Genomic DNA, 14,940 nt, shown 5'->3' with positions numbered 1-14,940 from the left:
GAAACCTCATCTCTACCAAAACTACAAAAAATTAGCCAGAGGCAGTAGCTCACACCTGTAATCCTAGCACTTTGGAAGGCCGAGGCAGGCAGATCGCCCGAGGTCAGGAGTTCGACACCAGCCTGGCCAACATGATGAAACCCCGTCTCTGCCAAAAATACAAAAATTAGCCGGGCGTGGTGGTGGACGCCTGAAATCCCAGCTACTCAGGAGGCTAAGGCAGGGGAATTGCTTGAACCTGGGAGGGAGAGGTTGCAGTGAGCTGAGATCATGCCACTGCACTCCAGCCTGGGCAACAACAGTGAAACTCCATATCAGAAAAATAAATAAAAATAAAAATAAAAATAAAAGTTAGCCAGGCTTGGTGGCAGGCACCTGTAATCCCAGGTACTCAGGAGGCTGAGGCAGGAGAATCGCTTGAACCCCGTAGGCGGAGGCCGCTCTGCGTATCAGTGGCTGGGGAATAGGTATTTTTAACCCTTGGGGGCCTAGAGGTAAAATTCACGGGCTCTACAAACCAGGAAGGAGAAGAGACTTCACTCTAATTTTCACTACCTCTTCCTAAGATGTGGTGTTCCCTTCAACCATGAGCGTACTGGCAAACCACAGCCATGATAGAAGAAAGTGTGGGGGCCAGGAGGATCACCTGAGGTTGGGAGTTCGAGACCAGCCTGACCAACATAGAGAAACCCCATCTCTACTAAAAATACAAAATTATCTGGGCGTGTTGGAACGCGCCTGTACTCCCAGCTACTCGGGAGGCTGAGGCAGGAGAATCGCTTGAACCCGGGAGGCAGAGGTTGCAGTGAGCCGAGATAGCGCCACTGCGCTCCAGCCTGGGCGACAAGAGGGAAACTCTGTCTGAAAAAAAAAAAGGAAAAAAACAAACAAAAAAAACCGGTGGCTTGCTGACGGAGAGAAACCACAGATATTTTCAAGTCACACGAGAGCTGCTGCAGACATCTCAAAATATCGTCAGCACACGACCCCCTTTCACGATGATGCTGGTTTTTGGTTTTTGTTCTGAGACAGAGTCTCACTGCGACACCCAGGCTGGAGTGCAGTGGCATAATCTCGGCTCACTGCAACCTCTACCTCCTCCGGGTTCAAGCAATTCTCCTGCCTCAGCCTCCCGAGTAAATGGGATGACAGGTGCCCACCATCATGCCTGGCTAATTTTTATACTTCTAGTAGAGACGGGGTTTCACCATGTTGGCCAGGCTGGTCTTGAACTCCTGACCTCAAGTGATCCGCCCACCTTGGACCCCAAAAAGTGCTGGGATGACAGGCATGAGCCACCGCGCCCTGCCGTTTATTTTTTAAAGAGACTCAGTATTGCTCTGTCATCCAGGCTGGAGTGCAGTGGTGCAATCATAGCTCACTGCAGCCTTCATCTCCTAGGCTTAAGCGATCCTCCCGCCTCAGCCTCCTGAGTAGCTGGGACTACAGGTGTGCACCACCCCACCTGGCTAATTTTTAAAATATTTTTGGCCAGGCACAGTGGCTCACGCCTGTAATCCCAGCACTTTGGGAGGCCGAGGCGGGCGGATCATGAGGTCAGGAGATCGAGACCATCCTGGCTAACACGGTGAAACCCCGTCTCTACTAAAAATACAAAAAATTAGCCGGGCGTGGTGGCGGGTGCCTGTAATCCCAGCTACTCGGGAGGCTGAGGCAGGAGAATGGCGTGAACCTGGGAGGTGGAGCTTGCAGTGAGCCGAGATCGTGCCATTGCACTCCAGCCTGGGCGACAGAGCGAGACTCTGTCTCAAAAAGAAAAAAGAATTTGTAGAAATGGGGGGTCTCACTATGTTGCCCAGACTGGTCTCGAATTCCTGGGCTAAAGCGATTCCCTCGTTTCGGACCCCCAAACCGTTGGGATGACAGGTGTCACCGCTGAGCCCGGCCATCATTAACCCTTTTCAAGCATAATTCAGGGGCACTTAGTACATTCGTGATGTTGTATAGCCAGCACTTCCGCCGGGTTCCAGAACATTTGCATCACCCCAAAAAGGGACACTGTCTCCGTTAAACACTCCCTCCGCAGTCCTGCCCAGCCTCTGCAAACCACCAGTCCACTTTCCACCTCGAAGGATTTGCCTGCTCTGCACATTTCATATAAATGAAGTCATACCATATGGGGCCTTTCACGTCAGCCTTCCTTCACTGAGCACGATGTTATTCTGTGAGAAGAAGAAATGAGGCCTTGGGAGGCCGAGGCAGGTGAATCACTTGAGGTCAGGAGTTCGAGACCAGCCTGGCCAACATGGTGAAACCCCATCTCTACTAAAAATACAAAAATTAGCCGGGCGTGGTGGTGGGTGCCTGTAATCCCAGATACTCGGGAGGCTGAAGCAGGAGAATAGCCTGAACCCTGGAGGCGGAGGTTGCAGTGAGCCAAGACCGTGCCACTGCACTCCAGCCTGGGTTACAGAGTGAGACTCCAGCTCAAAAAAATAAAAAAAAGGAATGAGGTGTTGCTCCTCTACGGGTGAACCCTCAAAACTCACCTCTATGATAAACGCACAGTGTAATTATTTACTGGGTTAATAAACAACCACATATACTACTCTATCATGAAATGTTTTAAAAATTTCAACACTTGCAGTTCAATAAACATTGTCTTGTTTCTAATCCTATGTATTTCATCTTAAGCTTTGTTTCTTTTTTTTTGTTGTTTGTTTGGTTTTTTTTTGACACAGAGTCTTGCTGTGTCCCCCAGGCGGGAGTGCAGTGGTGCGATCTCGGCTCACTGCAACCTCCGCCTCCCAGGTTCAAGCGATTCTCCTGCCTCAGCCTCCCAAGTAGCTGGGATTATAGGCATGTACCACCAAGCCTGGCTAATTTTGTATTTTTAGTAGAGATGGGGTTTCTCTGTGTGGGTCAGGCTGGTCTCGAACTCCCGACCTCAGGTGATCCGCCCGCCTCAGCCTCCCAAAGTGCTGGGATCACAGGTGTGAGCCACCACGACTGGCCCAATGTACTTACATACATTGATTGATGACTCATGTCTCTGTAAAATGTATCAAACCAAGCTGTCCCCAGACCACCCTGGGCACATGTCCTCAGGAACTCCTGAGGCTACATCGTGGGTGTACGTCTTTCACGGTGGAAAATAAACCTCCTAAAATGATGGAGACTCATCATTTTTCTCGACTGACACAACAATGGAACGTGAGTGTGATGAACGGAAGTCTATTCCCCCTTGTCCCACAGAGCGTATCCTACCTGGGACACCATGAAGCCGTTGGCGTAGTCATTAAGGAGGCGATAGGCCTGGTCCTCTGAGGATCCCATCTTGTCTCCAATCCAGCCGTGGCTTCCGGAGCCTCTGGAGCGCTTGCTTCAAGGAGCACAGAGCCTGCTGGCAAGGTGGGGAAGAGCCACCCGCTCACAGCTGCTGCCTGACTCTCCCTGCTGCCTGCCCAGTACTCAAACAAAGACGGATCACTCTAGAAATTTGCATTAACCGTATTAGGGGATCACAAAGCGTGTGGCGATTCCCTGGCTTTCTGGGCGCCCCTCCGCAGCCCTAAAATAGTCTGCATCAGGCCCCCCCGAGCCCTTGACTCATCAGCTGTAGAACTGATCCCAAACCAATATGCTCACCCATCATTAGCACTCATTAATCGTCTTATGGATTGAGCAGGTCCTGCATTCATTTCTGGGGGTCGTGCGAATTTCTGCAAACTGGGTGGCTCAAGAAACCAGTTCTCTCACACTTCTGGAGGCTGGAAGTTCAACATCAAGATGCCAGCAGGCCAGCCTGGGCAACATAGTGAGACCCCTTTTTTTTTTTTTTAGATGGAGTCTCGCTCTGTCGTCAGGCTGGAGTGCGGTGGCACCATCTCAGCTCACTGCAACCTCTGCCTCCTGGGTTCAAGCGATTCTCCTGCCTCAGCCTCTCGAGTGGCTGGGACTATAGGCACACACCACCACACCTGGCTAATTTTTGTATTTGTAGTAGAGACAGGGTTTCACCATGTTGGCCAGGCTGGTCTCCAACTCCTGACCTAAGGTGATCCACCCACCTCGGCCTCCCAAAGTGCTGGGAAGACAGGCATGAGCCAATGTGCCTGACTAATTTTTTAATTCTTTGTAGAGATCGGGGTGGGGGGGGGGTGTCTCACTATGTTGCCCAGGCTGGTCTTGAACTCCTGACTTCAAGAGATCCTCCCACTTCAGCCTAGATATCTTGCAACGTTTATTTGGACAATCTAAATGCCTGCACATAATTAAAATGTGACCGTGCCAGGGCTGGGCGTGGTAGCCTGTCATCCCAGCACTTTGGGAGGCCGGGGCAGGCGGATCACAAGGTCAGGAGATCGAGACCATCCTGGCTAACACAGTGAAACCCAGTCTCTACTAAAAATACAAAAAATTAGCTGGGCGTGGTGGCGGGTGCCTGTAGTCCCAGCTACTTGGGAGGCTGAGGCAAGAGAATGGGTGTGAACCCGGGAGGCTGAGGTTGCAGTGAGCCAAGATCGCGCCACTGCACTCCAGCCTGGGCGACAGAGCGAGAATCTGTCTCAAAAAAAAAAAAAAGTGACCGTGCCAGGTCTCTACCCCATTTCTGAGGATGCATGTCTCGCCGCAACCTCTGCCTCCCAGGTTCAAGTGATTCTTCTGTCTCAGGCTCCCAGTAGTTGAGATTACAGGCACCCACCACCACGCCCGGCTAATTTTGTATTTTTAGTAGATACGGGGTTTCTCCATGTTGGTCAGGCTGGTGTTGAACTCCTGATCTCAGCTGATCCGCCTACCTCGGCCTCCCAAATTGCTGGGATGACAGGCGTAAGCCACCACTCCCAGCCTCCAGAGTGATTTTCTAGGGGAAAAATATAAACACAGCCTGTCATCCCAGCAATGTGGGGCAGATCACATGAGGTCAGGAGATCGAGACCAGCCTGGCTAACACGGTGTAACCCCGACTCTACTAAAAATATAAAAATTAGCCAGGTAAGGTGGCTCATGTCTGTAATCCCAGCACTTTGGGAGGCTGAGGTGCGAGGATCACTTGAGGTCAGGAGTTCAAGATCAGCCTGGTCAACATGGTGAAACCCCGTCTCTACTAAAAATACAAAAATTAGCCGGGCATGGTGGCAGGTGCCTGTCATCCCAGCTACTTGGGAGGCTGAGGCAGGAGAATCACTTGAACCTGGAAGGGAGAGATTGCAGTGAGCCGAGATTGGGCCATTGCACTCCAGCCTGGGCAACACAGTGAGGTCTGTATCAAAAAGAAAGAAAGAAAGAGAGAAACAGAGAGAGAGAAAGAGGAGAGGAGAGAGAGAGAGAGAGAAAGAAAGAAAGAAAGAAAGAAGAGAAAAGAAAGAAGAGAGAGAGACAGAAATGGAAAGAAAGAAAGGAAAGAAAGAGAGAGAGAGATACAGAAAGAAAGAAAGAAGGAAGGGAGGGAGGAAGGAAGGAAGAAAAAGAAGGAAAGAAAGAAAGAAAAAGAAAGGAAGAAAGAAAGGAAGGAAGAAAAAGAAAAGAAGGAAGAAAGAAGGAAAGAAAGAAAGAAGGAAAGCAAGAAAGAAAAAGAAATCCTTGAAGTTCAGAGCGATGAAGGGTCCTTGGGGACACCTTACCTGGAGACAGAAGGGGCTGGCCCCCAATCATATTTGCTTAATGGAATCCCAAAGCTACTGTCAGGAGACCAAATCTCTGCCTGCTGTGGGGATTTCTCAGGGATCTGAGTTAAGGCGATTACCTTAGGAATTGAGAAGGGCAGGAACACGGTTACTAGAGAGTGGAGTCTTACAAAGGACATGAACGGACACTTTTTCTTTTTTCTTCTTTTTCCTTTTGAGACAGAGTCTCGCTTTGTCACCAGGCTGGAGTGCAGTGGTGTAATCTTGGCTCACTGTAACCTCCACCTTCCAGGTTCAAGCGATTCTTCTGCCTCAGCCTCCCGAGTAGCTGGGATTACAAGCACCTGCCACCATACCTGGCTAATTTTTGTATTTTTCGTAGAGACAGGGTTTCACTATATTGGCCAGGATGATCTCGAACTCCTGACCTCAGGTGATCCGTCTGCCTCAGCCTCCCAAAGTGCTGGGATAATAGGCATGAGCCACTGAACCCAGCCAACAGGCACTTTTCCAAAGATGACACACACGTGGCCAACAAGCATATTGTATTAGTCCGTTTTCATGCTGCTGATAAAGACATATCTGAGACTGCGTAATTTTGGGTAATTTTTTTTTTTTTTGAGATGGAATCTCGCTCTGTCACCAGGCTGGAGTGCAGTGGCACGATCTCAGCTCACTGCAAGCTCCGCTTCCCGGGTTCAAGAGATTCTCCTGCCTCAGCCTCCCCAGTAGCTGGGACTACAGGCGCCCACCACCACACCTGGCTAATTTTTTGTAATTTTAGTAGAGACGGGGTTTCACCGTGTTAGCCAGGATGGTCTCGATCTCTTGACCTCGTGATCCGCCCGCCTCGGCCTCCCAAAGTGCTGGGATGACAGGCGTGAGCCACCGCGCCCGGCCAACAGACACTTCTCCAAAAAAAGACACACACGTGACTGACAAGCATATTAGTCCATTTTCATGCTGCTGATAAGACATACCTGAGACTGGGTAATTTTGGGTAATTTTTTTTTTTTTTTTTTGAGATGGAGTCTCGCTCTGTCACCAGGCTGGAGTGCAGTGGCTCGATCTCAGCTCACTGCAAGCTCCGCCTCCCGGGTTCGTGTCATTCTCCTGCCTCAGCCTCCAGAGTAGCTGGAACTACAGGCACCAGCCACCACAGCCAGCTAATTTTTTGTATTTTCAGTAGAGACAGGGTTTCACCGTGTTAGCCAGGATGGTCTCGATCTCTTGACCTCGTGATCCACCCGCCTCGGCCTCCCAAAGTGCTGGGATGACAGGAGTGAGCCACCGCGCCCGGCCAACAGACACTTCTCAAAAAGAAGACACACGCGTGGCTGACAAGCATATTGTATTAGTCCATTTTCATGTTGCTGATAAATACATATCACACTCATGGCAGGAAAGCCAAGGAGAAGCAAAGGCATGTCTTACCTGGTGACAGGCCAGAGGGCGTGTGCAACAGGGGACCTCCCATTTATAAAACCATCAGATCTGGGCCAGGTGTGGTGGCTCACATGTGTCATCTGGGCAGTTTGGGAGGCGAAGACAGCTGGATCATTTGAGGTCAGCAGTTTGAGACCAGCCTACCAACATGGTGAAACCCCATCTCTTCTACAAATACAAAAAATTAGCTGGGCGTGGCAGTGCATGCCTGTTATCCTAGCAACTTGGGAGGCTGAGGCAGGAGAATCGCTTGAACCCGGGAGGTGGCGGTTGCAGTGAGCCGAGATCGCGCCGCTGCACTCCAGCCTGGGCGACAGAAGGAGACTCCATCTCAAAACAAAGAAAAAAAAAGATGAAGATGTTAGAAGGTGATTTGGGGGTGTGGACAGAAGGGGAGGGGAGGGAGAGCTGGATTTTGGGGTGAAGGTGGTTTTGGAAGTCTTTGAAATCCGAGGCAGGAGGGACCGGGTGGGTGCTCCCAGGAAAGACCGTCTCTGCCAGAGGGAACAGCAGGTGCGGAGGCCGTGGGGTAGCGGCAGTGCGTCCGGGCTGTTCAAAGAAGAGACAACAACCCTGCATGGGTGGAGCATCTGGAAAGACAGAGGGAGAGGAGGGGAGGGGGCCGATGGACAGGAGACAGGGTGGCTTTAAAAGCCCTCAGGGACATTGCACGGAACCCCTCACCACCTTGAGACAGCGTCTGGCAGGACGGTTTCAGGAGAGGCCTGCATGGTCTGGACACAGTCAGAAGCTGCCATTTTGGGGATGGGATGTTTGGGACACAGAGTTGGCCGGAAAGCCCAGGAGCTTTTGTATAACTTGGGTGAGTGGGACGGGCTGAAGTTTTGGCTGGAGTAGGGTCAGGGGTGGCCTGGAGTCTTAGCTGGAGTAGGGGCAGGGGAGGCCTGGAGGTTTGGCTGGAGCAGGGTCAGAGGCGGCCTGGAGGCTTGGCTGGAGTCGGGGTGGGGAGAGAGGCCATTTATTTTACTATCTCCTGTCTCTGAAGAGAAGGAGGAAGTAAAAGTTGAAAAACAACAGGAATGAAGTCAGTGGCAAGACCAGCCGGCACCCCTGACCAGGCCTGAGGTTAAAACATTAACCCCCGACTCTAACCACACGTGCTCTCAATCTATCAGAACCCTTTCACGTGGAACCCCTTAGAGTTGTAAGCCTTTCAAAGGGCCAGGAGCTCTGTCTTCGGAGAGCCCGGTTCTCGAGACGTGAGTCCGCCAACGCTTCCGGCCGAATAAAGCCAAAACCTTCCTAAACCTGGTGTCTGAGGGGTTTTATCCGCGGCTAGTCCTGCTACAGGGGCAGGAGTGGCCTGGAGGTTTGGCTGGAGTAGGAACGGGGGCGACCTGGACGCTTGGCTGGAACAGGGGCAGGGGCGGCCTGGAGGGTTGGCTGGAGCAGGGGCGGGGCGGCCTGGAGCTTTGGCTGGAGCAGGGGACAGGGGTGGCCTGGAGGCTTGGCTGGAGGAGGAGCAGGGGCGGCCTGGAGGCTTGGTTTGAGTAGGGGACAGCGGCGGCCTGGAGGTTTGGCTGCAGTAGGGACAGGGGTGGCCTGGAGGCTTGGCTGGAGTAAAGGAAGGACTGGCCTGGAGGCTTGGCTGGAGTAGGTGACAGGGCCTCCTGGAGGCTTGGGTGGAGTAGGGGACAGGGGTGGCCTGGAGCTTTGGCTGGAGTAGGGGCAGGGGCGGCCTGGAGCTTTGGCTGGAGTAGGGGACACGGGCAGCCTGGAGGCTTGGCTGGAGTAGAGGACAGGGGCGGCCTGGAGGCTTGGCTGGAGTAGAGGACAGGGGCGGTCTGGAGGCTTGGTTTGAGTAGGGGACAGGGGCGGCCTGGAGATTTGGCTGCAGTAGGAACAGGGGTGGCCTGGAGGCTTGGGTGGAGTAGGGGAAGGGCTGTACTGGAGGCTCAGGCACCTGAAGCTTCCTACAGGCCTCGGAGTCTCACCGCGGCAGCGGCAGCAGGAGAGGAGGGGCCCGAGAGAGATTGAGAAGAGCCTGGGACCCTACCGACCAGCGTGGTGTCCCCATGTCCCCAGAATGCAGAAGACCCAGGGCTGGGGTTTGGCGGGGATGTGTGGAGTCTGAGATGCCTGTGGGGTGACTGGCCCTGGATGGTCCAGTGTGCAGGTCCTGCCCTGGGGCAACTGTAAACAGCCGCCCCCTCCGTTCTCCCAGGGGAACATACTGTTGCTTTTTTTTTTTTTTTTTGAGACGGAGTCTCGCTCTGTCACCCAGGCTGGAGTGCAGTGGCGTGATCTTGGCTCACTGCAAGCTCCGCCTCCCGGGTTCACGCCATTCTCCTGCCTCAGCCTCCCCAGTAGCTGGGACTACAGGCACCTGCCACCACACTCGGCTAATTTTGTTTTTGTATTTTTAGTAGAGACGGCATTTCACCGTGTTAGCCAGGATGGTCTCGATCTCCTGACTTCGTGATCCGCCCAACTCGGAGTCCCAAAGTGCTGGGATTACAGGCGTGAGCCACCGCGCTCAGCCCCTGGAGTAGGGACAGGGGTGACCTGGAGGCTTGGCTGGAGTAGGGGCAGGGGTGACCTGGAGGCTTGGCTGGAGTAGGGTCAGGGGTGGCCTGGAGTCTTAGCTGGAGTAGGCGCAGGGGTGGCCTGGAGAGGTAAAGCCTGTTGCCTTTACCTCCCAATGACCCTGGCACAGATGGGCTTCCGGACTGAGTGCCTCGGTGGTCTCTGGCAGCCTGGACAGCCTGGACAAGAGTCATTTGCTGCAGAGAGGGGACGGGACGGAGTGATGGGAAAAGTTTTTCACCAGGAGCAGAGGCATGAGCTGAGTGAGGTGGGGTGCAGGGAAAAGCCCCTGCCATCTGGGACGGAGGCGGCAGCCCCTGTGCAGGCCGATCCAGTGGCCGGGTGCAAACTCGGGAGGTTTGCTGGGGCAGCGTACAGCGGGGAGGGTAGGGGGTCGAGCTCCCGCTCTGAGTCAGGCTGTGCAGGAGAGCAAGGCGGGAGACACAGGATGCCCCAGCTCCTGGGCAGGTGGACGGGGCTTGAGGACGCCACCAGGAGGGTGTGCGTGTCCTCCACCAGGTGGGAAGGAGGATGAGCTAGTGAGGAGGGGCAGGTGCCCAGGAAGGAGGCATGGGAGGAGGTCCCAGACGGGATGCCTGGGTGATGCAGCTCCGCTCACCCCTGCCCGAGCTGGCCGGTCCGGCCGCAGCTTCAGCATCCCCTGGGAAGCCGCTGTTGGAGATGCTGGAGGCCTGCGGGGCGGGCCAGGGCAACACATCACCACCTGGACATCCATGGCTACGGCTGAGGGCTGGGACCTCTCCTATACCCCCCATGCATGCATGTTTTTCTATACTCTTTATTGTTTTACTTTTTTTGAGATGGAGTCTCGCTCTGTCGCCCAGGCTGGAGTGCAGTGGCGCAATCGCCTCTCACTGCAAGCTCCGCCTCCCGGGTTCACACCGTTCTCCTGCCTCAGCCTCCGGAGTAGCTGGGACCACAGGCGCCCGTCACCACGCCCGGCTAGTTTTTTTTGTATTTTTAGTAGAGACGGGGTTTCACCGTGTTAGCCAGGATGGTCTCGATCTCCTGACCTCGTGATCCGCCCGCCTGGGCCTCCCGAAGTGCTGGGATTACAGGCGTGAGCCACCGCGCCCGGTCTGTTTTTCTTTTTAGAGACAGAGGGTCTCTCTTTTAGAGATGGGGTCTCACTCTGTCGCTCAGGCTGGAGTGCAGGGGCACCATCATTTCTCCCTGCAGCCTTGAACTCCTGGGGTCAAGCGATCCTCCTGCCTCAGCCTCCCGAGTAGCTGGGGCCACAGGCACCCACCACCACGCCCAGCTACTTTAAAAACTTTAAAGTTTCTGTATGTTTGCTAGAGACAAGCTCTCACCATGTTGCCCAGGCTGGTCTCGAATGCCTGGGCTCAGTCAATCCTCCTGCCTCAGCCTCCTGAGTAGCTGGGACTACAGGTGCCTGCCACCAAGCCTGATTAATTATCTTTGTAGAGATGGGGTCTTGCTATGTTGCCCAGGCTGTTCTCAAACTCCTGGGCTCAAGCTATCCTCCTGCCTCGGCCTCCCAGAGTGCTGGGATTACAGGCATGAGCCAACCTACGCATTTGTAATATTATCTAAAATTTTTCAAAAATGCAGATGGTGCCATTTTAGACATAGAATATGTAATTTTTCAAAAACTCTTTGCTTCATCCCGAAGGCTGCGGCCTATGGAATTTGAACATGATCACAATCTGGTAACCGTATTCACCCATTTTAACAATACAGGTGAACAAATTAACAGCAGTTCATGTCATATTGGCACTTTTGAAATACATTTTATTTATTTATTTATTTATTTGAGATGGAATCTCACTCTGTCATCCAGGCTGGTGTGCAGTGGGGTGATCTCGGCTCACTGCAACCTCCGCCTCCCGGGTTCAAGCGATTCTCCTGCCTCAGCCTCCCGAGTAGCTGGGACTACAGGCACGCACCTCCATGTCCAGGTAATTTTTGTATTTTTAGTAGAGATGGGGTTTCACCGTGTTGGCTGGGCTGGTCTGGAACTCCTGACCTCGGGTGATCTGCCTGCCTCAGCCTCCCAGAGTGCTGGGATGACAGGCGTCAGCCACTGCACCTGGCCCATTTTTTTTTTTTTTACCTTGATGTATTATTATAGATTTAGGGCATAGAAGTGCAGTTTCGTTACCCTGGAGGCCGTTACTTTAATTGAAATCACAGAGACACAGAAAGTCAAACGCAGCGTGTTCTCACTTCTGAGTGGGAGCTGAGTAATGTGTTCACGTGAGCACAGAGAGTGGAATCGTAGACACAGCGCTGCTTTATTCACACGTACCCGTATCCCCATCCTCCTTCCCTCTGGAATTCCAAGCTGCACTTTTGAACTTGAAAGTTTACCTGGTGAGGCTGGGTGCGGTGGTTGATGCCTATATTCCCAGCACTTTGGGAGGCAGGTGGATCACCTGAGGTCAGGAGCTTGAGACCAGCCTGGTCAACCTGGTGAAACCCCATCTCTACTAAAAATTAAAAAAAAAAAAAATAGCCAGGTGTGGTGGCAGACACCTGTAATCCCAGCTACTTGGGAGGCTGAGGCAGGAGAATCACTTGAACCCGGGAGGCGGAGGTTGTGGAGAGCCGAGATTGTGCCACTGCACTCCAGCCTGGGCGACGGAGCGAGACTGTCTTGAAAAAAAACAAAAAAACGGAAGGAGCCGAGGATGGTCACCGTGACACAGGCCATACTCAACAGGGAAGTTTGATTTTTTTGGCTGAAAGAGATCCTGAGATCCCAACTGAAGACACGAGGCAAATCGGTTCAGAACTAAGTGTCATAAAAGGGTATGAACGAGAGAATCACACTTTCTCACTCGTATTTTGCAATAAATCCATTCGTTTTCTGTTCTGCCACATGGAAGTGAAATTCCTTGTGGATTTTTATTTTTTATTTTTTATTTTTTGTGAGACAGAGTTTCACTCTTGTCGCCCAAGCTGGAGTGCAATGGTGCGATCTCAGCTCACCGCAATCTCCGCCCCCCAGGTTCAAGTAATTCTCCTGCCTCAGCCTGCTGAGTAGCTGCGACTATAGGCATGTGACAACACGCCTGGCTAATTTTTGTATTTTTAGTAGAGACAGGGTTTCTCCATGTTGGTCAGGCTGGTCTTGAACTTCTGACCTCAGGAGATCCACCAGCCTCGACCTCCCGACGTGCTGGGATTACAGGGATGAGCCACTGCACCCGGCCTATTGTGGATATTTTAAGTGGATAATAATCCCAATCACTAGAAAGGGACTGAACACAAAGTGCCCTAAATCACAAGACCGAGAGAGACAAAGAGAGACTAAAATAGAGATAGGGAGAGAGGGCAAGCAGAGGGGAAGCTGGGCGAGAGGAGAGAAGGAAGGATTAAGAGAGGAGGAGAGACAGGCCGGGAGCGGTGGCTCACGCCTATAATCCCAGCATTTTGGGAGGCCAAGACAGGTGGATCACGAGGTCAGGAGTTCAAGACCAGCCTGGCCAAGATGGTGAAACCTCGTCTCTACCAAAAATACAAAAAATTAGCCGGGCATGGCAGCAGGTGCCTGTAATCCCAGCTACTTGGGAGGCTGAGGCAGAGAATTGCTTGAACCCAGGAGGCGGAGGTTGCACTGGGCCGAGATCGCGCCACTGCACTCCAGCCTGGGCAACGGTGAGATTCCATCTCAAAAAAAAAAAAAAGAAAGAAAAAAAAGAAAGGAGGAGAGACAGAGACAAAAACAGAGATCAGAAGAGAGTACAAGCAGAGGGGAAGCTGGGCGAGAGAAGAGACAGCAGGGAAAAACAGGGGAGAGACTGACAGGGGTTGAGAGAGGGAGGAGGGCAGGGCACGCACACACCAATCTCCTATGCTCCCCCCAGAAATCTGTGGGGCAACATTCCTCGGGTCGAATGCTTCCATTTCTTCCTTCCAGGCTCAAGTGTAAAGACAAAATCTAATCAGTAACAGCGTTGCTTCAATTAATCTCCATTCTCACCTATCAGCCGCTACTTACTGCTACTGACCCCTACAGCAAAGAAGAGAAATTTCAGCCGGGCGCGGTGGCTCACGCCTGTAATCCCAGCACTTTGAGAGGCCGAGGCTGGTGGATCTCCTGAGGTCAGGAGTTCAAGACCAGCCTGGCCAACATGAAGAAACCCTGCCTCTACTTAAAAATTCAAAAATTTTAGAATTTTTGAATTCGTCTCAAAAAATAAAAGAGAAATAGGAAAGAGGGAAGGAAGGAAAGGAAAAAAGAAAGAGAAAAGGAAAGAAAAGGAAAAGAAAGGGAGGGAGGGAAGGAAGGAAGGAGAGAGAGAGAGAGCACGAGCGATAGACAAAAGAGAAAACAGAGAAAAGGAGTTCAGATTCCTAAATCTCTTCCATAGATACCCAATTCTATAGGCCTGGGGGTGGTGCTCTCCAGCTTTCCTAGACTGCCCACATCTAACATATCACAAGGCAACACGCATTCAATTTCTGCCACCTTCTCTCCCATCAACCCCTAGCCCAGTCCACCAGCACTTCAAGCCGCCACACTCATCACACTCCCAGCTTACAGCCCCTCTTGCTTCTCGTCCCAAAAGTCTGGAGTGGGTCAGCCTCATGAGTGCGATCAGCTCCATGTCCACCTTTCCTGCTTCTCTTCTGCCTACTCCTTCCCCCGGCCACATGCACTTCTTGACCTCAGACACACCACGTCCACCCTTCTGTCTTGCGCACACAGCTCTCTCGAGAAGCTATCACTGGGACTTCTCATCCCTGTATCTACACATTCCTCAGCGTTGCAGGGAGTGCTGTCTTTTCCAGCACCATATCCCAGGTGCCCAGAGCAACACCTGGTCCTAGCAACGTTGTTTGTTTGTTTGTTTGTTTTTGAGATGGAGTCTCGCTCTGTCGCCCAGGCTGGAGTGCAGTGGCGTGATCTCGGCTCACTGCAACCTCTGCCCCCCAGATTCAAGCGATTCTCCTACCTCAGCCTCCCGAGTAGCTGGGATTACAGGTGACCATCCCCACGCCCGGCTAGTTTTTTGTGTTTTTAGTAGAGACGGGGTTTCACCATGTTGGCCAGGCTGGTCTTGAACTCCTGACCTCAGGTGATCCACCTACCTCGGCCTCCCAAAGTGCTGGGATAACAGGTGTGAGCCACCATGCCCGGCCCTGGCAACGCTCTAATAACTACTGAACAGGCAAAAAGCTCAGTGCTGGGCTGGACAGACTGACACAGATACACAGCTTTTTTTTTTTTTTTTGACAGGAGTCTCGCTCTGTCGCCCAGGCTGGAGTGCAGTGGCGCGATCTCGGCTCACTGTAAGCTCCACCTCCCCGGTTCACGCCATTCTCCTGCCTCAGCCTCCCGAGTAGCTGGGACTACAGGCACCCG

The 14,940-nt window shown here is 52.6% G+C and overlaps 1 protein-coding gene across 3 annotated transcripts in view, besides 3 other annotated features; it reads right to left on the bottom strand.

The window, feature by feature from the left end:
* The window catches only part of ASMT (acetylserotonin O-methyltransferase), a 28,023-nt gene extending 24,585 nt beyond the window's left edge, over positions 1-3,438 (bottom strand). For 2 of the 3 annotated variants that reach the window (NM_001171038.2, NM_001416525.1), the window contains exon 1: positions 3,229-3,438. In NM_001171038.2, coding sequence (NP_001164509.1) covers positions 3,229-3,297 — 69 coding nt within the window. In that variant the 5' untranslated portion in view covers positions 3,298-3,438. The remainder of the gene's footprint in view (positions 1-3,228) is intronic. The other variant, NM_001171039.1, reaches the window with a different exon arrangement.
* Positions 7,865-8,447: an enhancer, noted in NCBI's record as "H3K27ac-H3K4me1 hESC enhancer chrY:1678943-1679525 (GRCh37/hg19 assembly coordinates)". NCBI's record gives its function as "activates a minimal SCP1, AML or CMV promoter by ChIP-STARR-seq in primed H9 embryonic stem cells {active_cell/tissue: H9 hESC(primed)}" and the evidence as "EXISTENCE:reporter gene assay evidence [ECO:0000049][PMID:30033119]".
* Positions 8,448-9,032: an enhancer, noted in NCBI's record as "H3K27ac-H3K4me1 hESC enhancer chrY:1678358-1678942 (GRCh37/hg19 assembly coordinates)". NCBI's record gives its function as "activates a minimal SCP1, AML or CMV promoter by ChIP-STARR-seq in naive H9 embryonic stem cells {active_cell/tissue: H9 hESC(naive)}" and the evidence as "EXISTENCE:reporter gene assay evidence [ECO:0000049][PMID:30033119]".
* Positions 10,049-10,221: a silencer, noted in NCBI's record as "fragment chrX:1727169-1727341 (GRCh37/hg19 assembly coordinates)". NCBI's record gives its function as "represses an EF-1alpha promoter that drives an FKBP-Casp9 reporter gene in an ReSE screen in HepG2 liver carcinoma cells {active_cell/tissue: HepG2}" and the evidence as "EXISTENCE:reporter gene assay evidence [ECO:0000049][PMID:32094911]".

This window comes from Homo sapiens, chromosome X (genome assembly GCF_000001405.40).
Source record: "Homo sapiens chromosome X, GRCh38.p14 Primary Assembly".
Taxonomy (NCBI): domain Eukaryota; kingdom Metazoa; phylum Chordata; class Mammalia; order Primates; family Hominidae; genus Homo; species Homo sapiens.
The sequence above is the reverse complement of the archived record's forward strand: the minus strand, read 5'-3'. Positions and strand labels throughout refer to the sequence as shown.